This window comes from Homo sapiens, chromosome 6, assembly GCF_000001405.40.
Source record: "Homo sapiens chromosome 6, GRCh38.p14 Primary Assembly".
NCBI lineage: Eukaryota > Metazoa > Chordata > Mammalia > Primates > Hominidae > Homo > Homo sapiens.
The window spans coordinates 1,911,323-1,939,015 of NC_000006.12; the positions used below are offsets into that span (position 1 = coordinate 1,911,323).

The 27,693-nt window shown below is 41.2% G+C and overlaps 1 protein-coding gene across 8 annotated transcripts in view, besides 1 other annotated feature; it reads right to left on the minus strand.

Moving 5' to 3' along the window:
- The window catches only part of GMDS (GDP-mannose 4,6-dehydratase), a 621,800-nt gene that overhangs the window by 287,517 nt on the left and 306,590 nt on the right, over positions 1 to 27,693 (minus strand). For 7 of the 8 annotated variants that reach the window (NM_001500.4, XM_011514500.2, NM_001253846.2 and 4 more), the window contains one exon: positions 18,781 to 18,908. The exons of the other annotated variant lie outside the window; for it this stretch is intronic. In NM_001500.4, coding sequence (NP_001491.1) covers positions 18,781 to 18,908 — 128 coding nt within the window. The remainder of the gene's footprint in view (positions 1 to 18,780; positions 18,909 to 27,693) is intronic. 8 annotated transcript variants of the gene reach the window in all.
- Positions 8,303 to 8,848: an enhancer, noted in NCBI's record as "NANOG hESC enhancer chr6:1919859-1920404 (GRCh37/hg19 assembly coordinates)". NCBI's record gives its function as "activates a minimal SCP1, AML or CMV promoter by ChIP-STARR-seq in primed H9 embryonic stem cells {active_cell/tissue: H9 hESC(primed)}" and the evidence as "EXISTENCE:reporter gene assay evidence [ECO:0000049][PMID:30033119]".

The window sequence follows — 27,693 nt, forward strand, 5'->3', positions numbered from 1 at the left end:
TACAACTGAAAAGTAATTCTTCTCAAATGAAAACTGGCATATTAAGTGTACCCTCTGGGTTTGGGGAATGTTTCCCATCCCAAAATAAATTTTTAAGCACAAAGAGACAGTTAGAAATGGTCACTCTGCTGATAACCATGCTTTATTCAGTAATCTGTCAAACAGGAAAAAAATGGCAGAAAAAACAGACGTTTATATTTTAATTTCCTTGTGCCTGTTCTTTCCCCTATTAAAAAAAAAAAAAGCCGTGGAATTTGTCAAAAGAATGAACAGCAATCATGAGAGTATGATATGCCTTCCACGCTGCATGGGCTAGTTTTCAAGGGAAAAGAATTACAGCAGAGAGAGGATGTTGCCACACACATATAATAACGGCATGAACCATTCTGACTTGCAACATAAATTGAACCATTGAAGGATTTAAATGTTCCTCATTAACTTTTATTAGCCTCAATTTTTAACTTTTTTCCTTCCTCTTAAAATTAAAAATGAGCATTCCCTTCAACTTTGCACACCTTCAAGCAACATTCTGACTAAGCAAGGTCTTTGAGGGACCACGAACTACTCTGTAGGGAAAAAACACCTCCAAAAACCAAATCCTCTAGTACAGAGTTTTTTTCAATGTCTCTAAACTCTTCATAAAAAATAATAGGTCTGAGGCTACATTTGAAGACTTTTTCAAACTAAGGAGAAGAATAAAGATTTCATAATCTTATCATTTTAGAATCGACCATTTCTGATCACTAAAAATAAGTGATCTTGGCTGGGCATGGTGGCTCACTTCTCCAATCCCAGCACTTTGGGAGGCTGAGGCGGGTGGATCACCTGAGGTCAGGAGTTTGAGACCAGCCTGGCCAAAACAGTGAAACTCTGTCTCTACTAAAAATACAAAAATTAGCCAGGTGCGGTGGCGGGCGCCTGTAATCCTAGCTACTTGGGAGGCTGAGGCACGACAATGGCTTGATCCCAGGAGGCAGAGGTTGCAGTGAACCAAGATCACGCCACTGCACTCCAGCCTGGGCAACAGAGTGAGACTTTGTCTAAAAAAAATTTTTTAAAAAGTGATCTAATCAAAGGACTGTGGGGAGCACTCCAACTTTTTAGAGTTCTTTCTATGTGATAGGTAACAGGTTAAACACTTTGCATTACCTTACACAGTAAAATTTGAAAGCTTTAAATACAAACAGTTATAAAACAAAGTCTTATCCAAATGTGAAATGTAGTGCCTACTGGGTGAATGTGATACCCCACCTTCCCTTAAAAAAAGAAAAAGAAAATACTGTGGGGTCTTCCTCTCTCCATAGCTTGTGGATCTCAACTACCCGTGGGATGTGCACAGACCAAAAACAGAAAAAGAGAAAAAATGAAATATATATATACAAACAAAACCTTTTGGTGACTGTTTCTAAAAACAAAGATTTAGAAAGCAGTATTTCACAAAGTGAAAAATAAGTGCACACTTGGTCAGAAAATTTTCAAAATCTGTAGAATATTACAACATAAAAATACAGAATTTCAACCTCATGCACACACCCCTCTGAAAATGTGCCCAGTGACCAGCTGGGATTCTCTGTGTGTACCACAAGCCCAAAGCAGCATTACACATTGCCCTTCTGGATGAGACTGACCTTACCTCTGCCACACAAACTATAAACTGAATGCCACACCCTTTAGTTATGTAATTTGCTCATTGTTTATTGTTAACTTGCTCATTTATTGTTATTTGATCAAGAAAACTAGTTATTAATAACTGACCCTTTAAGAAAGTTTGCATGTGGGCCAGGCGCGGTGGCTCACGCCTGTAATCCCAGCACTTTGGGAGGCCGAGGCGGGCGGATCACGAGGTCAGGAGATCGAGACCATCCCGGCTAAAACGGTGAAACCCCGTCTCTACTAAAAATACAAAAAATTAGCCGGGCGTAGTGGCGGGCGCCTGTAGTCCCAGCTACTCGGGAGGCTGAGGCAGGAGAATGGCGTGAACCCGGGAGGCGGAGCTTGCAGTGAGCCGAGATCCTGCCACTGCACTCCAGCCTGGGCGACAGAGCGAGACTCCGTCTCAAACAAACAAAAAAAAAAAAAAAAAAAAAGAAAGTTTGCATGTGGTAAAAATGTCTGGATTATATTCTCAGTTGCCTCAGTTTGCTGCCAAGGAAATTTGGTAGCAAACTATCTAAAAGACATTTTTAGAAGTGAGTTTTCTTCCTCAAAGAATAGAAGGGTGTGATTTGTTTTAAAAGACCATATTCCAGTCACAGGGAAAAAAAGGCTATGTCAAAAATGACAATAATATGCACTTTTTCACCTTGGAAACTTTAGACTTGAAAGAAGCCCATAGTATAAGTTTTCCATCACTCCAGTTGAATTCTAAGACCACCAGTGAAACAGCACCACTCAGAAAACCACAGGGGTGGCCCTGCTAGAATACACATATAGTTGCTGAGGAACAGGAAACGAAGCCAGATGGTTCTGCTGAGGGAAGCACTTTTTTTTCTTTATAAAACCAAAAAAGTACTAATAGGTCAAACATAAAAATGCAGATATGGTAAAGCGGAAAGCTAACAGGAAGATTTATGTAAATAAGGCAAGCTTAAGTTTGCATTATGTTCCCATCTACATCAGTGAGTGGATGTACGGGGGGAAAGGAAAAAATAATACAGTATATCCATCCTATAGATCTTTCTGCTGATGGGAGAAATGCTACTAGCAATCCCATTTAGGCACTGCTGCTAAACTGTGGGAGCCAAAAGCCAGCATATGATTTGTGTTACATAGAACGTGTGTCAATTATCATGAAAGCGTTTTTTGTTTGTTTTTTTTTTTTTTTTTTTTTTTTTTAATTAAGAGAACTTTTGGGCTAGGCGCGGTGGCTCACGCCTGTAATCCCAGCACTTTGGGAGGCTGAGGCCGGGGTATCATGAGGTCAGGAGATTAAGACCATCCTGGCTAACACGGTGAAACCCCATCTCTACTAAAAATACAAAAAGTTAGCCTGGCGTGGTGGTGGGCGCCTGCATTCCCAGCTACTTGGGAGGCGTAGAATCCTCCAGTTGAGGAGAATGGCGTGAACCCAGGAGGTGGAGCTTAAAGTGAGCCGAGATCGCACCACTGCACTCCAGCCTGGGCAACAGAGCAAGACTCTGTCTCAAAAAAAAAAAAAAGAAAAAAAAGAGAGAATCTTTAAATACAGAGTCTGAAGTAACTATAACCTAGACTCTGGCTTCTTGCACATCTGGTTTACTGTAGTTATTCACAGTCTCATGAAGTCCCAATGCAGGGTGACAAGTGACACCTGAGACTATTTCCAGGGAAGATCCCTGTGCTCCAAGTTCCCAAGGTGCGCCCCTCACAATGTCAAAGGCAGAACTGCACCAGGCACTGGGCCTTAGTCTTGTGTCTCACAGGGCTTTGGATGGCAAATTCTGAATCCTCTCCTGTCGCGCCCAACTACCCATCATTCTTGACTGGTGTCTGCAAAGCTCAACATCCAGCCACTGGGCCTCCCTGAAGCACAGCAGTGTGGTCATGTACACAGCTCTGATGAGTGAGGTGCTAGGCCCTCTCTCCCACACAGGCCCCCCTCCTGCTTAGGCCTGGGCAGAAGTGTGCGAGGTTGTCATGACCTTGGGATGGTGAGGATACCTTGGGAGGTCTGCAAGTCAGGCAGTGGCCAGCCATTGCCCACCCTGGGCTCCAGCTACAGCAGGTGGCTGGCATCCACTAAAGGGAGAGCAGCACGGAGGCCTCGCATGCCCTTAGACCTCGAACCATCCACTGTATCTGCAGAGAATATGTGTCCCCACAGAACCAGTGGTTTTGCTTTTCCCATAAAGAAGCTGGACACTTGGATTTGAGGCTGAGTTGGTTTGACTGAGTTCAATCTCAGGCAGTTGAGCACCGGGGTTCAAGACGCTGTGAGAGATGCTAGGGGCCAGATGCAAGCATTGTCAGCCAGGCCCTGGCAGAGGCTCACAGGGCTGAGAATAAAGCATTGCAGACAAGGCGGGAAATGGCCAATTCTTCAGTGAAGTGGCCAGGAGAGTAGGGCCCCTGAGGAGGGCATCTGCAGAGGCAGCTGAGTGCTGAGCCTGAGCAGGGCAGGACTCCAAGGGCAAGCAGCAGGGGCAGCCCAGGGCCGGCACGGTGCAGGGCCAGCAGCTCCCAGCTCCGGAGGAGGACGCTGGGGCCCTGCCCAAGGCCGAGAATGCATGCTCCAGACAGCGGCCTTTATTCCATGGTGGAGACAGTGATGGTTTTAAGTTGAAATATGACAGTATCTGTATCTCAGAAAGGCGACTCTGGCAGCCATGTGGGAGGCAGAGAGAGCATCACAGTGCAGGGTACAGCCAGCACAAGGGTCGGCCGAATGAACGCGCCTGATCTGGGCCAGACTCAGCAAGCCTCTCTCTCTATGCCTTATGTTTTCCCTCTAGTGAGAAAAATATGAGAATAGCACGTATCTTACCAGACTCCTGTGAAAGTAAGCTTGTAAAAGTGTCCAGTAGTTCATGCATTTTCAGTACGCAATAAGGTTTTGAACTTGAAAATAAAGACTAACTGGATATTTTAATTCATGGTTTCAGGCTCAAGGAAGGCTTTGACTTTAAAATAACAACTGACCATTAGAGCTGTTCATAAAGAAAGGGCCATATTGGGAGGTGGCAACACCTTCACCATTCAGACATGTCCCGCCCAGCCACTGCTCACGCAGGCTTCGCAGGTGGAAGCTAAGCTGTACCTGAAGATCTTGGCATTCTTACTGGTGTAAAAACTGTCATTAAGCATTTTTCAATATACAATCATGGTTTTTACGTAGTTTAGCCCTTTATTCCTATGATGTTTTTGCTACCCCATTCTAGACTGACAACATGGCTGTAGGGAAAGGAAGACCAGCAGCCACCTAGTTACAAGGTAGCACGCCCACAGTGACCAGCGCTGATGAAACGTGAGGGTGCAGCTGAAGGAAAATGGGGCGTCTGCCAGCTGCTCACCAGGCTCTATCAACCCTTCACGTGCGGGGGTGGGGGGCTGTTCATACTCAAGATGCCATTAGCGCAGATTCTCCAAAGTAAGAGTTTTCATATTGTATTCCTACCCCACAATCTGTGAAAGAAAGGGAGAGAGAGAGGAGATGAGCTGAAGGGAGGGGAAGGGAAAGGAGGGAAAGGGAAGAGGGAAAAAGAGAGGTAGGGATGAACAGAGGGAAAGGAGAGTGAAAGAAAGAGAGAGAGACGAAAAAGGGAGGGAGAGAAAGAGAGAGAGCCAATCGTGGCACAGTGACTTAGGAAGAATCCTACTGAAATGCTCAATAAAGCCAGTGTAATTTCTTTGAGCCCCACTGGACTGCTAACATTTGAGAGCACAATACCACGCGCAATTAAACAAGCAAACCCACAATTCATTAGGGATAATTTTAATAGATGACTCATTAGCCAGCCAGTTAATGATGCTTTGTTTTCCCAGAGGCCCAGGCAGATGCTTAACTACAATGAGGCTTCTACTGCCACTGACAAAAGGCAATGGAATCTAAACCACCCATGCCACGTCTTCAAGCTTCTTCAGGTTTTTTTTTTTTTGAAGATAAGGATCAAATGAAACGACTTCTGTTAAACTTGTATTTCCTGTACAGAATGGATATCTTCTTCAAATTATATGATTGTACAACTATTAAAGGACTGCTTAATGTAGAGGAAGTCTGTTTAGGACACAGGGACTGGCCTTTTCACATGTGGCTCCTCAGATGTTCTACAGTTTCCTTCACACTCAGTTCCTCACACTGGAGTGGTTTCACAGGATGATTAGAGGTATTAGGCCAGCAGTAGAGATGCTAGTTTATATGTAATACCTAGCGAGAGGAATACGTTTGCTACACAATCAACACTTGAAGTCACTAAAAAAAAATGACTTTAAAAATCTCACAAGAATGACTAAATATACCAAAAATCAGCCCAGAAACATGGCACAGTATCATGGTAAGTCACTGCACTGAGGAGTTGGCAGAGCAGGGCTGGAACCCACTGCCTGATACCAAGAGAAGACATCAAACAAGGGTTTCTCCTTTCAATGTCAGCCTTTTCCTATGAAAATGACAAAAAACAATCCGTGCTCTCCTAACCATGGTCAAATATGTGTTGGGAGAATCAAATACAAAGATGTAAATGACAAAGCACTACAGGAATAGAATAGGACAATCTTCCAGGGTTTAAAATAAGTTCTAGTGATAGATCTTTATATTTTATTTTCAAACTTGAAATTTGAGACCCAGGCAAAACCAGCAAGTAATTCTTGACTAAAGGACACACTGTAAGAAAAAGCACATGAAACTATGCAGCCCTTGAAATCCTCATCTCTGCCTTTTTCTGTTGAGACAAAGTAGGCGCAGCTCTGCTACCTTGAATGGGGTATCTGTATCCTGTGGACTTGGTGACAGAATGCCCCGAGAGGCAGGATGCCAGCCGAGTCACCTTCCTGGAATGCAACCTGTACCCTCCAACACAGGCACCCACAGACTATCGCTCTGCTCTGTGAGTCAGAAGCTGGAGGACGGACCCAAGAACAGGGATATGTCGTCTGAGCATGTGGGTGATGTGCGACCAGGGAGGAAATGAAATCACACTCACGAGGGACAGAAAATGGTACTGCAGAAGGCTTTTCTTTTCTTCTTACTGCACTGTTTCCACAGATATTCCCAGAGCCACTGTCAAATAAATACATAAGAATCTTTAAATTCTATATGTATTTAAAAATAAAGTCCTATTATTACAACATGACCTGCTTCTAATTTGCATGTGTTGGTGATGGGTACAGACTGAGAGAGAGGATAGAGAGGGGAGAAGAGAAGGGATGGGAGAGTGTGACGGTTTTCCATAATAATAGAGCCCTCCTTGGAACTCTGGCTCTCTAGAAGAATCCTCTAACAAATGAGATCCTTGAAAACTGAGAGGAAATAGAGTGATGATCACACAAAAAGGTTTCTGAATGAGCTGATGTCAATATCATCAAGTACTCCCATGGGTACTTGGTCTTATAAGCTAATGGTATATTAGTGATTTTTAAATATTATTTTGTAAAACAGGGCCAGTTTATCCTTCTGCCTTTCCATTTTTCTATCTGCTCAGATATTCTTCCTTTAAAAATAAGAATAAGGCCGGGCATGGTGGCTCATACCTATAATCCAGTCCTTTGGGGGGCCGAGGTGGACAGATCATTTGAGCTCTGGAGTTCAAGACCAGCCTGGGCAACATAGGGAGGCCTCATCTCTACTAAAAAGAAAAAAAAATTCAGCCGGGCATGGTGGTACATGCCTGTAGTCCCAGCTACTCAGGAGGCTGAGGTGGGAGGATCACTTGAGCCTGGGAGATCAAGGCTGCAGTGAGCCAAAATCATGCCACTGCACTCCAGTATGGGTGACAGAGTGAGACCTACCTCAAAATAAATAAGTAAATCAAAAGTAAAAATAAAGCTAGGAATAAAGTCTAATAATAGTAGAATCTAGAGATAATCAGGAAACTGGCCACTGTGTGAGAACATATAGACGTTACTTCCTTTCATTTATGATCTGCACTCAACCAGAAAGAAAGGTGCTTGCAAACATTTTGCTGATATCAAGTAAATCTAGCACAACTCAACCTAAGTGTGGTAAGATCATATTCTGGGGGCAATGTCTTGTGCTAGCTAAAGAAAGCATCTTTTAATAGTAAGAGAAATGGAACACATTTCATATATACAGATTTCATTTTTATAATTTTATAAAGAAATGATGGGCAGGGAGATCCAATTCAGGTATTTACTGGGCATCTGTTATGTGCCAGGCATGTTGGGAGGGATGATTAAAGATAAAGAGGGATAGGATCCAGGTCCTGCCTTCAAGGAGCTTCCCCAAGAGAGACCGACATGAGATAGCTAACAAAGTCCTGACTGCTCCTCAGAGGTCTCCCTCACTTTTCTCTCTATAGTGAGAGCCCAACCATTCTCTCTATGAGAAAAAATGGTAAAAGTGATCTCAAATATTTTACATAACTCTGAGAGGTACTTAGGGAAGCTATCCTATGGAGTAATTTCATCCCTTTCTTTGAGAACTCTACTAATAATTTCCATATGAGGCTTAGGCCAACAATGTAAAGACAATTTCTCAAAGGATTTCTCAATTTTGCCTTTACATAATTCGGCTTCTGTAAACTGTACCTGTAACTAACTGGCCCTAGTAGAAGTCCAATTGTTTTTCTCTTCTAAAAGGAAAAGGAGACTTTCACTTAACTATACCTCAAATTTATCTGTTTGGGGCATATGCAGCATAGTTTCTGAAGCAACTCTAACAAGTCAAAAATCCTCTGGAAATTTGATCCCAAGAGTACAATGGCTTTTGAATATTCTTCACCTTCAATAAGGCATAGAGTAGAAGCACATGGAACCAAGTCCCCAGCCTATATTAAACTTATTTCTCCAGCAAGTCAGTGTTAAACATCTTATTCTTACACGAGATCTGGCCCATTTCCTACAGTATCCATTCCGTGTTGCCAGGTCTTACCGTTGATGCCCTGGGCCATCAATCAGAGTCACAGGGATTTCAGGATCAAATCAGCACTACAAAGCCATCAATTATCCCAGCTGTATTGAAGTCAACAGGTAGAAAACTGAAATAACAGATACAAATGACCCAACACTCACAGAGAGGATTGAACTTTCTTCTTTACCTGAGAAAAAGGATAAGGAGAATCTTTGTGGCATTACTGCTATAATTCCTTCCCACGGAATAAGCAGAAGAGATGTTTTCCAGCATGAAGTGAACGGGGCTGAAAATAAAATGTGTTTCTTTGCTTTCGGGAACATTCAACTTAAAAAAGGTTTTGTTTTGTGTCTTTGGATACAAAGGCAAGATTAACATGCTTGTATTAGAGGGTCCCCTGAGGATGAGCCTGGGAACCTGGAGCTTGGGCTTGGGCATTCAGGTGGCCCAAAAAAGGACAGAGCAGAGCCCCCAGGCTTCTCCACCAGAGCTCTGCAAAGACAAAACATGTAATTTTAGTCAATTATTTCCTGCAATAAAGGTGCTAATAAGTAGGATAAAGCCAAACAGTACTTTAGCATGCATTCAAAAACAGAGATTTGACTTCTAGCTTGTGTGTGTATAGGAAAGAGACAGAGCAAGAGAGATAGAGTGATTAACGTATGGTATGTGTGCAAAAGACTGCCTTGATTGCAAATACGTTTTGCCCTCTCCAGAGTGCATGAGTATAAAGATGAAGCACTGAATATTGAAGATATAAGCAAAATCATCACTAAATTTAGATGATGTCACATCTTGTGAGAGATATTTACATCTATTTCCTGTGGACAGTCTTGTTATTAAAATTAAACAGTCAGTTTAGTTCATATTTTCAGATTTTCCAGACTTTCACAGAAGTCACAAAAAAGTGGGAGACGTCAGTGAAAGAAGAGACAGGTGGGGAGCAGGGCAGGGAAAGAGGAAGGGCAGAACAGGCTGGGGTGGACTGAGAAAGCTCAAGGAATCTCATGGACTTGGTAAGTGTGAAAGTGAATAGCTAACCTAAGTGTGAACAGTTCTTTAGTGTAAGAATTTTCTTACACTATTTTCCTAGGAGTTTTGCTCTCAAGACTAGCACCATGACTTTCTTAAGTACAATGGGTCACTTCATGATCTGCAATGGTATAATGACCCTTCACATCAATGAGCGTGACTAAAGGGTGGAGTACAAGCTTCCATCTTAATGTGGTTAATTGCTACCCATTAGAACTTAAGCAGCACTTACATGAAGTTTCATAACCCTCATAATCCACGTCCACAGGCACTATACCTAACCCATTTTATATGAACATGCAACTTTATTCTCTATGCATTTGCATCCTCTCTCCATACATACCCTGGCCAATAACTGCTTTTCTGATTTAATGACATATGCTCAATTTTATGTGGTTTAAATCAAACTGAAAATGTGATCTAAGAATGCACCCAGTCTCATGTTTCTAAACTATCTGTAAATGAAAACTCAATTCATACTAGAAATATGGGTGATACAGGTGTCTTTCATTAAACAACAATTTAAAACGGGCTCTACAGGTTCTTATTTGGGGACACAGCAGCTTCTGGGATGTCATTCCAATCAAGCAAGACCTAGCCAGATAAAACAGGCAATTGATTTTCTACATTTTTCTTAACTTATTTTAAATAATACACTGAAAAGTTTACTGCACAGGATGAAGAAGAGAAAAAAAGAGAAATGGCAAGCTGAATTTGTTATACAGAGTTTTCCATAGCCAGATCAGGAAAATGGTTTTTTGCTTAATCTAAACATTTTATGTTTCAAAGATGCAGGAAACTGTTACAAGCTTTTCTTTTCCTATAAATAAAGCTGTTCTTTTTTCTTTATTAATCAAGGCCCTTGAATTGCCTTTCTTAAATGTTTGGTTTGTTAGAAACAACACAGAAACCACGTTCTTCTAAATACAGATAAAGGAGAGACTATTTATTTAGTTATTTTCATTTGTATTTCTTGGAATATTTTTCAAAGAGAGTATATTAAATAGCTCCACAGAAGGCTAGAAGATTTTTTCCCACAATGGAAAACAATAGCAATACCTCACTAATCAATATAAAAAGTCAAAATAAAAAATCGATGAGTATTACAACACATTCAGTGAGGAGGCCACTGACATATTTCCCTTCCAAGAAAGAACACCTTAGGCTCCTAAGTAATAATATGGAATTAGACTCCCACAGTGAGTAGAAATTCAATTGCTGACCTTATTACCTAACAAACAGTCACTTGACAAAGATTCTAATAGAATAGGTTTTCTAGGAAACTCCCCAGGTAAATATCCTCTGCACGTAGTTACACAATGCCTTCCCCTCTGCTAGGAAGACAGGAACGATGTTGTTAAGATAGAGAGCTCTCAGCAGATCCCTGGTTTTTCCAGACCACTGTCACTTTATGAGACAGATACAACCTCACCGTTGCTTTCTGTTAAGTAAGGCCTTACTAACAAATGGATTCAGGCACCACTAACACTTTAGACAATGGAAACACAAAAAGATACTACTGCTATATGCTACTCTCCTGCATATGAACAAACATGGTCTACTGATGGTGACAGAGGCAGGAGGCAGACAGGGGCAGGTCCCTGGTGAAGCTCCACCTTCAAACCAAAAAGCCTGAAACTCACGGCCCAAGGCGACAACTCTACTCCTGTTTGCCCACTCTCTCCTGAATGGTTCCTTCGGAATAATGCCTTTTTGCCCATCAAATGTTGCCTTTTTCAAAACTACCGATAGCCCGTCCTGTACCCCATCCTCTGCCTATAAAGACCCCAGACTCAGTCAGTAGAAGAGAGAAACGTGGTTTGACTGGAGAGGGAAAACTTGACTTCAGAGAGCAGCTGGACTTTGGAAGAGAGATGGCTTGACTCAGGGAAGAGCCGGCTGGACGTCAGGGGAAGACTTGTCCCGTCCCATCTACAGCTAGCTCCCGTCTCTGCTGAGAGCCATTTCCGTTGCTAAATAAAATCCTCCACTAATACAGTTCAGCTGCGTCCCCTTTCAAATCTCATCTTGAATTGTAGCTCCCATAATTCCCACGTGTTGTGGGAGGGACCTGGTGGGAGATAACTGAATCATGGGGGCGGTTCCCCCATCCTGTTCTCATGGTAGTAAGTCTCACAAGAGCTGTTGGCTTTAAAAGGGGAACCCCTTTCACTTGGCTCTCATTCTCTCTCTTCCCTGCTGCCATGTAAGACGTGCCTTTCGCCTTCCACCATGACTGTGAGGCCTCCCCAGCCACGTGGAACTGTGAGTCCATTAAACCTCTTTGTCTTTATAAACACCCAGTCTCCAGTATGTCTTTATCAGCAGCATGAGAACGGACTAATACATCCACCTTCACCATCCTTCAAGTGTCCACACTACCTCATTCTTCTTGGACTCCCAACAAGAGCTCAGGACCCACTGAGTGCGGGTACCCAAAAAAAGCTGTCACACTGGCCCTTTGCCTTCGCTGGCAGAGGGCAGCTGCTCCACGTGACGAGGCAAAGGACCAACCGAGTTGATAACACACTGCTGTCCACAGACGGCAGAGCTAAGAGAGCACTGTAACACACCCTCTGGGGCTTCAGGGTCACAGGCACCCCCACCTGTGTACCACAGCAACACTCACACGAAGATTGCTCCTGCTGGTGACCAGAGCAGCTGGTCTTGCTCTCTCACGTGCTCCCTCCCACAAGGGGTTGAGCGCAGCAGGCTGAGTAAATGGAGCTTGTTCCTGCCAGCGCACAGAGCAGCAGCCAGCCGGATCCCGCACTCGCTCACTCACGCGCTCCCTCCTACAAGCGGTTGAGCATGGTGGGCCAAGTAAACGGAGCACCCTGTCACAAGTCCAGTGAAAGGGTCGTGAAAAATCCGACATCAATGGTGATGTTGCAACAAGCAAACTTCCCTTAAATAAGATCTCAAAGTTTAAATGACGTCTCTTCCTTCCAGATTTGTGTAACATAGGATACAAAATGCTAGTAGAAGATGGACAGATAGGAAAGAAAGGACTGGGCAGCAGTGGGCAGTTCTCCCAGCTCTGTCTGTAACCTATGTACCCTTCCAGAGGCTCCTCACCTTCCCCAGGTCTCTGTATTAGCTGAGAACTGAGAGCTGGAATGAAGGTAAATTCATTCAGAGGACAAGGGATAGAGGGGGCTGGAGACCTGACTACATATTTTCCCCAAACACACCCTTTACTTCTTTACCTGATACAGCCAATAGCATAGGTTCGGCAAGATCTGACAGCTGTCTCAGCCAGACTCTTTCTTACATTTAAAACCTATAAGAAGTCTTCAAAAGTTTCTGGCATATAATAAGTGCTTAACATTTGGCAATTACGTTTATTTCTAAAAGTAGTTTTGTTATGATTCAGTCTGTGCTCACTGTCCCCTGCCACCTCCACACAAAAAAGGATGCAGGTATATGACGTTAAATTCTGATGAATTTCAACGCTCACCCCTAACGATCCTCACGTCCTCTGGGTTACCAGTAGGACCCTTCTGGAGCATCTGTGGGATTAGCTGTAGCAGGAAAACCTCTTGCCACTTTATACATGGCTTTTACTGAGTCCTGGAAAGAGGCTGGACTTAGGTCTCTTGATTAACCCTGTCTCCCAAGAGCAAGGGGCCTTTTTTGTGGGTGGTAAAAGCCTGAAGATACTCTGGCCCAGCTCCTACCATTTAGCTTATCAGTCAATATGTTCTGGCTATAGTTGTGTTTCACATATTTATATCAAAGTGGGATCTCATTGGGACCATATACTGCCATTTGTAGCAACCAGAACTGTGACCATGGCAGGAACTCAATAGAATACATGTTGAATGAACAGTGCCACCCTGAGAAGTCAGAGGTTCTCTCCCTTAGTGTTTTCTGCCACCACTGCTATAATCCTGACTGCTGGACATTGGTTGAAAATGGCGCATTGCCACTAGAGTGTTCTCGTGAAGCTGCTTGAGCCTATATGGAGAGAGGTGGGCATAAAAGCAGGTTGTAGAGGGGTCAGGTAAATACTTAAGATAAAAATATTTTAAAAGTTTGAACTGGCCGAAATCGCACCACTGCACTCCAGCCCGGGCGACGGCGAGACTCCGTCTCAAAAAAAAAAAAGTTTGAACTGCTATCTATACCCCATAAAATGCAAATTTTTAGTAGCTTGTGTTTGTGCAAATTGAATATTTGTAGCTGTAAGCCATTAGCACTACAGTAATTACTTAAATACTAATTTTTGTTCAAAATGCAACAGTAATTGTAGACATTAATTACAGAATCTGGGTGGTACGCAGGTGTTTGAGGTAAAATTTATTCAGTTATTCTGTATGTTTAAAAAGTTTTATAATAAAATACTGGAAGAGATCTAACTGCCTATGACTTTATTCAGAAGTACAATATAATTTAATATAGCTGTATATATTTTTTTCTTCAAGTTGAAATACTTCTCACTCATTTAAATAACTTTGAAAACATCTTGATCTAGGAAGCAAGACTACAGATGGATGAAAATAAATTGGAATCAGCAACAAGTAAGGACTTTTTATAAATCATTGTGAAAATTTTTACAAGTCAGAGGTAAACTTTATTCATGTATGTATGTATAGCACACTGATGCTAATTTTTTACAGGGTTTATATTCTGTCCTTTACACAGATGGAAAAATCAAGATAAAACAGCTTGTCTAAGCTGAGAAACAATGTACTTGCACAGCAGGGATAACCAGCACCCACCTCACAACACGAGGAGAAAATGCTCTCTGCTCTTCATGATGGAAATTCACTGACAAGTAAAAAAGTGTCAGTCACTTCATCTGAAGGTTTACTAAAATTTTTGCATATAAAAGAGAGAGGTTGTGATACGGAAGAGGGGCAGGGAAGTGCCGGGAGGAGAAGGGCAGGTCCCTGGTGAGGGCTCCACCCCCAGGCCTATGCCCACGGACTAGGTGAGGACAGGCACTCCTGCCTTCACGCCCAAATGCTGCATTTCCCAAGACCACCCTGGCCCACCACACCCCCATGCTGTGCCTATAAAAACCCCAAGACACAAGCAGCTGAACATCAAGAGGAACACACCAGCAGCTGGATATTGAGAGAATGTCGAGAGCATACCAACAGGCACCAGCACACCGGCAGGCCACAGACGGGTGGAACTATGCCGAGTTTGGCTGGGGCGGAGAGAGGAGAGCTCCAGCCACTGAGAGACCCGACTCCAGGGGAAAACCACCTTCCCACACCATCTCTCTTCTGGTTCCCCCATCTGCTGAGAGCTACTTCCACTCAATAAAACCTTGCACTCATTCTCCAAGCCCACGTGTGATCTGATTCTTCCAGTATACCAAAGCAAGAACCTCAGGATACAGAAAGCCCTCTGTCCTGGAGATAAGGAAAGGGGTCTAACTGAGCTAACACAAGCCACCTATGGATGGCTAAACTGAAAGAGCACCCTGTAACACATGCGCACAGAGGCTTCAGCTGTAAACATTCACCCCTAGATACTGCTGTGGGGTTGAGCCCCACAACCTGCCCATCTGCATGCTCCTCCAAGAGGTCTGAGCAGTGGGGCACTGAGGAAGCAACCCATACCACCATCACACGCTCTGCGAGGGGGATAAGGGAACCTTTCCCATTTCAGCTGTATAATTAAAACGTGTGTGTAAATGAGATGGTATTATGACTTGTTTGACCTACATTTGCAAACACTTCTTTATTCTAAAGTTGATTTCAGTGTCAGGGTGCATGTGTGTTTTAAACAAACAATACCTCTCCTTTTTCATTTTTATGATTGCTGACTTTAATTTTGGCAACAAATTTACCTTTAGTCATAAATCTCTGAAGTAATCTTATGTTAATACACTTAAAATTGCAAGGAATGATCATATTTCTTAAAACGGAGGGTACCAAGCTATAAATTCTTACTGAATAAACGTAATTTAGACTTTGTTCAGAACACATAAATGAGAACTATAAAATGCTTCCTACATCATCAACATATTAGAAACCCAGGAGAGTCCTTAATACACAAGACCCACTTGTATTATAGAACAAATCAAGGCTTGGATGGCAAGGAGAATGACCTAACTTTCTATCTGTCTCTCCATGGAATCTGACCATTTCAAATTTTTATTCAGAGGGTAGCGTGTTGATGTATTTTTATTCAGAGGGTAGCGTGTTGATGTATTTTTATTCAGAGGGTAGCGTGTTGATGTATTTTTATTCAGAGGGTAGCGTGTTGGTGTATTTTTATTCAGAGGGTAGCGTGTTGGTGTATTTTTATTCAGAGGGTAGCGTGTTGATGTATTTTTATTCAGAGGGTAGCGTGTTGGTGTATTTTTATTCAGAGGGTAGCGTGTTGATGTATTTTTATTCAGAGGGTAGCGTGTTGGTGTATTTTTATTCAGAGGGTAGCGTGTTGGTGTATTTTTATTCGGAGGGTAGCGTGTTGGTGTATTTTTATTCAGAGGGTAGCGTGTTGGTGTATTTTTATTCGGAGGGTAGCGTGTTGGTGTATTTTTATTCAGAGGGTAGCGTGTTGGTGTATTTTTATTCAGAGGGTAGCGTGTTGCTGTGTTTTTACTCAGAGGGTAGCGTGCTGTGTGCACATGCTGGCTTGTGAAAGGCTGTAATGACACCGCCTTGTCAAACAATCATAAATGACTTCACTGAACACGACCTTTTTGCACCAACCCCTACTGGAGCCAAAATGTATATAAAATATTTTTATTTTATGCTAATTCAAACGTGGGCCTGTTGTGCCCAGATGTGGACTACACTCGCAGCAGCGCTAGCTTGGCATTTGGGAAGTGTTGTGCCCAGATGTGGACTACACTCACAGTGGAGCTAGCTTGGCATTTGGGAAGTGAGATGACAGCAGCGTCCTTCTTTCAGATCTACTCGTTGACACAAGACTTCCTCCTTACTTACTTAACACTCTCATTCATTTTCATGAGACTTTTTGGCCTGTTTCTGAAATGTCACCTCCTACCCCGGCCAATTACAAAGGTTTACACATGTTCATTTAAAATCTATGGAAAATAAAGACAGTATAAAGAAGAAAATAAACACAACCTGTAAAAAGCACTATCAACATTATGGTATACTGTTTCCCTCACTATCAAAATCTATTAGATTTCCGAATCCTTTTTCACCTACGTGCAAAATAATAAAATTGAATGAAATTTAATCGATTTGGTTCCTTGAACTTGGAGAAGAGTTTGGATAAATAATACCTATATAGGGCCAGGTGCAGTGGCTCAAGCCTGTAATCCCGGCACTTTGGGAGGCCAAGGTGGGTGGATCATGAGGTCAACAGATGGAGACCATCCTGGTCAACACAGTGAAACCCCGTCTCTACTAAAAATATAAAAATTAGCTGGGCGTCGTGGTACGCGCCTGTAGTCCCAGCTACTCATGAGTCTGAGGCAGGAGAATCGCTTGAACCCGGGAGGCAGAGGTTGCAGTGAGCCAAGATTGTGCCACTGCATTCCAGACTGGCAACAGAGCGAGACTCTGCCTTAAGAAAAAAAAAAAAAAGAATACCTATAGCTTACTATGTAGCTCTATGCAGATGCTGATGGCTAGAAGGCTAAACAATAAATAGATATTATTGAGAAAATAATGTATTTTTACATAACAAGCCTCATATTTTTCAGTAGGTAAGGTCATTTAGGTTAGACAAAAGAAAGTTTTGGCTTCTCTTGCCAGTATCTACTTTCTCATAATTTCTAAGCGTGAACCTATATATTTTTTGATGTGATGTTCTGAAAATAAATCTAAGGATTAATGTCATAAAATGCTTCTTTGTAATTATAGCTTAGAAGCACATATTTAAAAGATTTAGGCTGGGCACGGTGGCTCATCCCTGTAATCCCAGCACTTTGGGAGGCTAAGGCGGGTGGATCACCTGAGGTCAGGAGTTTGAGACCCGCCTGGTCAAAATGGTGAAACCCCATCTCTGCTAAAAAAACAAAAATTAGTCGGGTGTGGTGGCGCATGCCTATAGTCCCACCTACGCAGGAGGCTGAGGCAGGAGAATCGCTTGAACCTGGGAGGCCGAGGTTGTAGTGAGGCGAAATCATGCCACTGCACTCTAGCCTGAGCAACAGAGAGAGACTCTGTCTCAAAAATAAATAAATAAATAAATAAATAAATAAATAGATCTAAATGTTGCACTATTCAAAATCTAAAGTCAAAGCTAATTATTTTGTGCATAACAGAAATCAGTATTAGCTGTTCAAACACACACACATTTTTTATTGTTATGACCAAAAACAAGATGGCAGGTGAGCCTCATCTCTGCACTAGCAAACAAACTAATTGTTTGCTTTCTTTTGTAGGCATTAAAGTTTCTTTTTGAATTGCATAAATGAACAAGAAAGCTGGGTCCAGTTTCCTAGAGAGACATCATTCAGGACAGAAATAGGCTCATGAGCACAGGAAATCTGTGAGCACTTGAACAAGGACAGGCTACTCCAGGGAAAGGACAATGTCTCTACCATGCTTGCTCATGTCTGACCACAGAACCAACATGGATATTTAAAAGCAGGGAGATCAGGGCAAAGTAAAAGGTAACCATTTGTTTATAAAAGAAAAATCATACTACTTGCGTATGTAATATATGCAAACCCAAAACAGCATGTCTAGGAATGCCAAGAATGAAAATCTGAATTTCCCTTTAACAATATCCATTATTTCACAATAGAATCATTATTAACATCTTTCTCTATCTCTCTTTAATAGGTAAAGCTCAACGACATGCAATATAACATGTTAAGAAGTGTGTGATGTAATAACCAGACTCTTCAGCAGCAGAAAGCAGAGTTCCATAAGAATATTACTCTTGGCGGGACTTAGTAGAATAATGTAAGTCCAAGAATCTTGAATTATATACATTGAAATGAGGCAGTATTTCTAGAAGATCTGAGAACTAGTACTTTTATACCCCCAAAATAAAGAGGAGCACCATTCAAACACTTTTTCCATCTATCTATCCATCATCCAGCACAAATAATTGGAAGAGTATTTGTGAAAGTTTTCCTCATTCAAGTACCATTCAGTGTAAGCTACCTGTACGTCTGAACCACCAATCCCTGAACGACTGATCCCTGAAGTGAAAGCAGCATGAGTGTAAACATACCTGCCTTGGCAAAGGTTTGTATGCCCCCACCTCTAGGTCACACTTTTTCACTGTACGCTTGGCATTTAGAATATCAATGGATACGGGTATTTTCAAGAATGTAATGTGTCAGTTCCTACCTCCACATAGTCCTTGGCATGGCCCCAATCTCGTTTGGCATCCAGATTTCCCAAACTGAAACATTCCAGTTGTCCAAGGTAAATCTTAGCTACTGACCGGCTAATTTTTCGAGTAACGAAATTAGCTCCTAAAAAGAGGCAAAAGATGTAGTATCAGTCAAGTGCACTTGACACATTTAACAGTTTGGTGAACCAAACCCGATTTCGGCCTCTGGGCATTTCTTTCATTCTACACTCCCAGCCACCCTGTTAAAACAATAAAAGAAAAGAAAAAGAGAAAAGATCATTAACTGTCATTTAGACAAGTTAAGAAGCCCTAATTCCATGTGTCACATCAGCTCTACTTTCAGAACAAACGTTTTTCTTTGGGGGACATCTTAACATTCCTAATTTGTTGCTTCAATATGCAACCCAGGCATTAGGCCAAAGAAAAGCTGTTGGAATGCCAGTTTTTAAACAGAAAATTCAAAAGGGTTGTATAAAGGGAAATGCCAGAATGGACGACAGACATCTAAGACCACCCTGATTTTTTTTAAGAACACAAACATCATATATTCCTATTAATAAAGCTACTTTGGGACTCATGGGGAGAGAAAGAAACATAGCTTAGTTCACAGGGTAACTAGTTAAAGGAAACAAGAAAGGAATTTATTTAGGCTGCCTTTCTCTTAACAAAATAAGTGGTGATGGCTCTTATTTAGAAACCTGCACAGCCATCCAAATGATATGATATGGCCCCTGGGCAAAAGTTTCTCTGTACTATACTTAAGGCAATGCCACTTTCCAAATTCATTTCAGTGTTATTTACAGAAAGGGCTCCTAAATTTTGTGTAATATTTTGAAATGATTGGTTGAAAGGGGCCATATCTTGATGAAAGCACTGAAATTGTTTTAATGTTCTCTGGTCTTTAATGAAAACTCTATCTGCTTTTTCAAAGATCACAAAGTTAAAAGGCACTTCTGAGACAGTTTTACCTTGTTATCTAGGTAAGGTTATGAGAAAACACCATTTAATACCAAATTCTCAAGGTAATAATACTCATATTAGCTAGTTAATAATGGATTCATACAGTTTAGATATGTGAATATCATGATTTATCACATACCAATGACTTTAACTATGTTCTTTTGCAGATGAAGCAGGGAGGCAAATATTATGATCAAAGTGTTTGGCTTCTGGAGAGCTGGCACAGGGATAAGGGGAATATTTCTAAATAGGTTTTCCAAATTTTGGCAAGAACGTGGCTTAGCGCAAGTTCAAACATACACCAGATTCACTTACTCCACAAACTTGATACGTACATTTATACCTACACCATTATCATTAAGAAATACAATGGGACTACCGTGGAAATCCAAATTTTCAATTCCCCTTGTCAATTCAGATGGTATGTTAAGAAATACAAAGTTTCAACTTTCCACAGAGGTTTATATAGCACATAGAGGTCCTTCAAAAAAAAGTGCCTTTCGAAATGAAAAACTACTTATTAGCCAGTAAGTAATTAGTGGCTAATTAGTAATTTTAAAAATTTTTCTATTGACTTGTAAGAATTAAATTTAGGTTTTTTGATGTTTATCATTATTTCAATGTCAGGACTATACTATTTTCTCAAAGTATACTAAGAAACCAATGATGGCAAACTATTAAATGAAGATTCCAACATAAAACATTTCAGATTAACCTGTTTACCAGTAAAGTAATGTTTGGGAGTCCAATGGAAGTATTTGACCCTATTCATACAATTTATTGATTCTTTTACCCAGTGTTGACTACGCACCCACCAATCACTAAGCACTGAGCTAGGCACTGGGGATCTGGGAGAGAAGCAGCAGCCCCTGCTCTCAGGTATCACAGAGAGGGTCAGGTGGGCCAATAAACCAGTGCTGAACCTAGTAAAATGCCAGGTCTGCAAGGGGGGAAAGCCTTTGGGGTTGTAGCATGGCTGCCAGGCGCAACGCACGTGAGAAATGCCTACCAGAAATGGAGCTTGAATGGAGTCTACCAGTGAGGTCATGAAGGGACTCATCAAGCTGTGAGACAGGGTGGTACTCCAGGCAGGAGGAACGGCACTTGCAAAGATGAGGAAGGGCCTTTCTCTTCCAACTCTTACCACAACCTTATGATGGTTATGGCACCTCCAATGAGGGCTATCGCTGATAGCACTGTGCTGAGCTCTTTAGATGGGGTAACTCATTTAATTTTCCGAGCAACCCATGTGCTAATATTACCCCCATTTTGTACATGAAGAAGCTGAGATTCAGGGAAGCTATATAAATTAACTATTCTAAAACAGCATTCAAATCGAGAGCTATATGACTACCAAGTTCTTATATTACCAGAACTTTCATGTCGTGCTAGAAAGGTGGATCTTTTCTTATCTGGTTCCTAAAGTTATCTTGGATAACTAGCCAAAATTAACTATAATTTCTAATTCTTTTTTTTTTTTTTTTTTGAGATGGAGTCTCACTCTGTCACCCAGGCTGGAGTGCAGTGGCGCGATCTCGGCTCACTGCAAGCTCCGCCTCCCGGGTTCACGCCATTCTCCTGCCTCAGCCTCCCGAAAAGCTGGGACTACAGGTGCCCGTCACCACGCCCAGCTAATTTTTTGTATTTTTTAGTAGAGACGGGGTTTCACCGTGTTAGTCAGGATGGTCTCGATCTCCTGACCTCGTGATCCACCTGCCTTGGCCTCCGAAAGCACTGGGATTACAGGCATGAGCCACCGCGCCCGCTCAAAATGTAATTTTAACTATTATTTAGAACAGCTATTTTGAGATATAATTCACATAGCATACAATTCATTCATTTAAAGCATATGCTTCAATGGCTTTTCTTATATTCATAGAAATGTACAACCATCATCACAATCAATTTCAGAACACTTTCATCATCCCAAAAAGAAACCCTGTATCATTTAGCAGTCACTCACCAGTTTTCTCCTAGTACCCTAGCCCTGGCATACAGATAATCTACCTTTTATCTCTAGATTTGCCTATTCTGGACACTTCCTATAAATGGAATTATATTAATGTCTGGTCTTTGTTTCTGGTTTCTTTTAGTTAGCATAACATTTTCAAGGTTCATCCATACTGTAGCTTGAATCAGTACATTGTTCCTTTTTTATGGCCAAATAATATTCTATTATATGTATATACCAAATTTTATTTAACCGTCCACGAGATGACTATCTGTGGTGCCTCCATCCTTTGCCTTTTGTGAATAATGCTACCATGAGCGTTCATGCCTTTTTGTGAACGTATGCTTTAATTTCTTTTAGGTATATACCTAGGGGTGGAATTGCTGGGTCATATGAGAACTCTGTTTTACCAATTGAGGAACTGTAGACTTTTCCAATGTGGCTGCACCACTTTACATTCCCACCAGCAGGGTAACAGGGCTCTGATTTCTTCCCATTCTCCCCAGTACTTGTTATGGTCTGTTAAACTGTAGTCATGCTAGTTGGCACCGAGTGGTATCTTATTGTGGTTCCGATGTGTCCTTCTCAATAACTAATCATATGAAGCAACTACCTTTTCATGTGCCTACTGGCCACTTGTATATCAATTTTGGAGACATGTCTATTCAGATCCTTTGTCCATTTTTAAATCGGATTACTTATCTTTTTATTATAGAGTTGTAAGAATTCTTTATACATTCTGGATCCAAGTCCCTTATCAGCTATATAATTTGCAAAGATTTTCTCTCATTCTGTAGGCTGACTTTTCACTTTCTTGGTTGTGCTCTCTGAAGCATAAAAGCTTTTTTATCTTTTAATTTTGATGAAGTCCAATTTGTCTACATTCGCTTGTGTGGCAGATGCTTTTGGTGTCATATTCGAGAAGGCTTCGTTAATCCAAGGTCATGAAGATTTATTCCTATATATTTTTATGAGTTTTATAGTTTTTCTTCTTACATTTGAATTTTTGATCAATTTTTAGTAAATTTTTATATATGGTGTGATGAAAGGGTCTAACTTCATTCATTTGCATGTTGACATCCAGCTGTCTCAGTATTATTTGTTAGAAAGGTTATTTTTCCCATTCAATAGCATTTTCCTCAAAAATCAATTAATTAATGAAAAATGTGGGAGACAATTTCTGACTTTCAATTCGATTTCATTGATGTACTTACTCTATGTCTATCCTTATGACAGTACCACACAGTCCTGGTTACTGTAGCTCTGTGGCAAGTTTAAAAATTAGGAAGTATGAGTTCTCCAACTTTGTTCTTTTTTAAGGTTATTTTAGCTATTCTCTGTCCCTTGAATTTCCATATGAACTTTAGGATCAGCTTGTTGATTTCTGCAAAAACACCAACAGGGATTCTGAAAGGGATCATGTTGAATCTGTAGATCAAAATGGAGGCTATGCCCATGCTAACATTATTGTGCCTTCCGATACATGAATATAGGATGTCTTTCTCCTTTATTTTGGTCTTTTAAAATTTCTTTCAACAATGTTTAATAGTTTTCAGAGAATAATTTTTACACTTCTGCTAAATTTGTTCCTAAACACTTTATTCTTTTTTATTTTATTATAAATACAATTGTTTTCTTGATTTCAAGAAAAAGTTTTGGATTAATTTTAAACATTTTTGTAACCACATGTTTTACTACTTAATTCTCAAGAAAGGCTTAAAATGATTTTTTTTTTAAATTTGCTCTCCTCATTTTTACTCCATGTTACAGAAGAATGCTCTTTTAAGGAAGAAACTATATAAAAGCATAGAACATGAGGGCTGAGACTATCCCAAGTGAGAGGTGAAGAAAGAGAAACGCACAGAGGCTGCACACCTGTCCTGAGTCAGGACAAGTAGCCGAGCCGGACCCAGGCCTGTCTCACTGGCTTTCTAGCCTTGTGCTGTTTTGCTAAGCCACAGTGCAATGCAGGAGGAATCTCTTCTGCGATGAGATGACCTAAGTGTTTGTGAATTATTATAGCACATGTGGATAATGGAACCCCTATAATTAACTTAAATACATACTTGATTTATAAAGCCTTAAACTATAAGATTCTCGTTAGAAAGAGGACTAAGAAAAGTTAGCTCAATGAATGGAGGGAAAGCCAGCTCTGTTAGTAACCAGCTGTGATATCTTACACAAACCATTTAACCACTCTGAAGTCATAGTCTCCTCTGTGTACTACTTGCATATTAACATTTGCCATGCCAAATCACTGGGTACACTAATGTAGGTTAAATGGCATTTCTTACAGAAATGTAAGAACATCACTATGTCCTTGTTTGTAAAATAAGGATAGTAATAGTACCTAAAAGCTTTGATGTTTAAAGGAGAAAATCTAGGTTTTCTGGTTATCAGTAAGTACTCAGTAACTGTTAGACATTATTATAATGATTACATTACAATGTTAATGGTATCTACAATTAAGTCTCAATGGAAAGTTAAGATTTCTTAGTTCTTTTATTAATAGATGACTACATCTCTTAATTCTCTGATTTTGAAAGTCTGAGATTGAGGAAAAATCAAAATAAACAGCCAGGCATGTGGGCCTACACAGGAAGCAATAATAAACATTTCTTGAATGACTTTGGCTTTCAATATTAACTCATTAACCTAGGAAAGAGAGTATGCAAGTAAAAGTATATCCATAAGACCGAGAACAACTAATAAGGTTTTTAGCCTAAACACTCGTTGGATTGAGATAATGAGTTTTGCCAGCATTGATAGAATGAGAACAGAACTTCTGTTCACGCAATGCAGTAGACAACAAAAACTGCCACATTAAAAACCAGTATATGCTGGGTAAAATATTACTATTCCTATTTTGTTAAATACAAAGCTGAGCCTCAAAGAAATGAAAGAAAATCCCCAGGTGAAGGGGGATCTCCAGAGCACAGATCATGGGTGGGCACTGAGGAGTCTGGGCTGGAAGTGAAAATGGAAGGCCATCTCATGCCCTGGAAACAGGTTCAGCTTTAATATCTATCTGTGACAAAGGACAAAATTTTCAGGGTAGATTACTAGAACCGTGTCTAACACACTATGTTAGTTATGCATAATTCTGCTTGCTACTTTTGTCAGTGCTATTATCTTAAGCAAGTGTTTTAATTTCTCAGTTCTCTTACCAATAAAATGGGATCACAATCCACACTAAGAATAAAATATCATGCTACAGGAAGCAGTGAAGCAAGGCTCAATGTGAGCAGTGGCAAGAGGGCCAGCAGGCCTGCATGGACCCTAAGGCAGTCGCTGAAATGGTGCATTGAGACTTGAAGGCTAAGACTACTTAAGAGTAAAGCTCACTCCTTCCATGAACCTAGGGAAAGTGAAGCCTGTGAATTTTACCAGCAGCAGACACCAGGCACAGCCAGAAGTGGGACTAATCCCACCTCCTCTGTGGCCACAAGGCAAGGGAATAATAGCTCAGACCAGCAAGTCATCAGCTGAGACCAGGAGGCATTCAGAATGTACCACAAACACCTGAAGACACCACCTGCCCCTTTTCCAACACTAGGTCAAATAAGCCACATCTACGTCCCATATAGCACCACACGCCACACCACAACGTTTAGGTCAAGCATGGACCGCTTATATGACAATGGTCCCGTAAGATTACAATAGAGGCCAGGCACAGTGGCTCACGCCTGTAATCCCAACACTTTGGGAGGCTGAGGTGGGCAGATCAACTGAGGTCAGGAGTTTGAGACCAGCCTGGCCAACGTGGTAAAACCTCATCTCTACTAAAAATACAAAAATTAGCCAGGTGTGGTGGTGCGAGCATATAATCCTAGCTACTCAGGAGGCTGAGGCACGAAAATCATTTGAACCTGGGAGGTGGAGGTTGCAGTGAGCTGAGATCACCCCACTGCAATCCAGCCTGAATGACAGAGTGAGACTCTGTCTCAAAAAAAAAAAAAAAAAAATTACAATAGAGCTGCCCAATACAGGCATATCTTTTGTCCTTTATATGGTATTTTTACTTTACCTTTTCTATGTTTAGATACACCAATACACATTGTGTTGCAACTGCCTACAGTGTTCAGTAATCTGCTGTCCCAGTTTGTAGCCTAGCAGCGATAGGTGTGCAGGAAGATATACCATCCAGGCTTGTGGAACACTCTACGTCTACAACCGTCACACAATGACACTGCCTAATGATGCATTTCTCAGAACAAATCCCTGTGGTTCCGTGACGCATGACTGTAGGTAGATGCCATCCTGAACAGAAACAAGAAAAGAAAGCACGCCTAGAAAAAAGCTTCAACATTCTGTTACATTAATAGCAGACACTGAACTTTCTTTTAAATTTTAATTTGCTGTTTTTGAAAAACAAGTATAAATTAACTGTTAAGGACTATATTAGTTCCTAGGGCTGCCATAACAAACTCCCACACACTGGGTGGCTTCGAACAACCAAAATTTCCTGTCTCACAGCTCTGGAGGCTTGAAGGTTAATATCCAACAGGGCCATGCTCCTTCGAGAATATCTACAGGAGAACCCTGATGCTGTCTCAGCATGTGATGGCATTCCTTGGCTTGTGGTCCAATCTCTGCCCCCATATTCACACCATATGAATAGTGCTTTCTCCAATGTGTGTCTATGTCTCTGGCTCTTCTTTTTATTATGTGGACACTTGTCATTAGATTTAGGGCCCACCTTGGTAATCCAGGATGATCCCTTCATCTCAAGATCCTTAACTAATTATAACTGCAAAGACCTCATTTCCAAATAAGGTCACATCAACAGGTTCAGATATTAGGATGTGGACATATCTTTCTGGGGGCTACCACCCAACCCACTATAAGAACGAAGGTTTAGAATATTTGAGGCTAGGTGCGGTGGCTCATGCCTATAATCCCAGCACATTGGGAGGTGGGAGGATCACTTCAGACGAGGAGTTTGAGATCAGCCTGGGCAACATAGCAAGACCCCTTCTCTACTAATTTAAAAGAAAAAAAAAGGGGGATACTTGAAATACATGATAAAACATGAGAGGGGCATTGTTTCCTCACTTAAACATCATTTTAAGGGTAACTACATTCCTTTCGTGAGCATAATAGCCAAATAGGGTCTCCATTTGTAGAAGATTAATTTAGAGGTGATAAAGTAAGTTTCCCCTCTGTTTCAGCTCTGCAAGTTTTCCTCAGTTAATTTAAATAGCTCCCTGGGTCTCCTTCTTCAGGGGAATATACATCTTCTTATAATTTCAGACTGAAAATTCTGTGTGAATTCCTGTGTCTACCAATTTCCTTTGTCATCATTCTTTCTTGCATCTTTCTTGTGGCATAAATTCCCTTCTTAAAATGCATTTTTAGAAGTTCCCTTAATGTGGAAAAATTAACTAGCTCGTATTTGAAAGAAGTTTTGCTAAGTGCACAGTTCAAGGTTGAAAATTATCTTCTCTTCCATGCTGACAGTATTTTCCCACTGTCTTCTGGTTTGCAGTTTCTGCTAGGAAGAAGTGTGTTTCCGGTCTAATTGTCATTCCTTTGTAGGTAATGTAATGTCTTTTTTTCTCCTGTTAATGTAAAGATATTCCTGTTTTCTTTGGTATTCTGGGGTTTCACTCCAATGTGTCTACGCATGGCTTTCTGCTTGGGGTCCATGGTGCTTCCTGCATCTGTGACTCTTTAATCAAGTCTAGAAATTTCTCAGCAACTATCTCTTTAGATATTGCCTCTTTTCACTCTATTTTCTTCTGGGAAAGGATATTAGACTACTACTTTTACTTTCTACTCTCTTAATTTCTTTTTTTTGGTAATTTTCATCTCTTTGCTCTTATCTGTAATAGTCTGGGTTAATTTCCGTATAGCCATCTAATTGTCCTTCAGCAATCTAATCTAAGTCGGCCATTTAACCCTTCCTTCTTCCCTTCCTTCCTCCCTTCTTTCCTCCCCTCCCCTCCCCTCCCCTCCCCTCCTCTCTCCTCTCCTCTCCTCTTCTCTTCTCTCT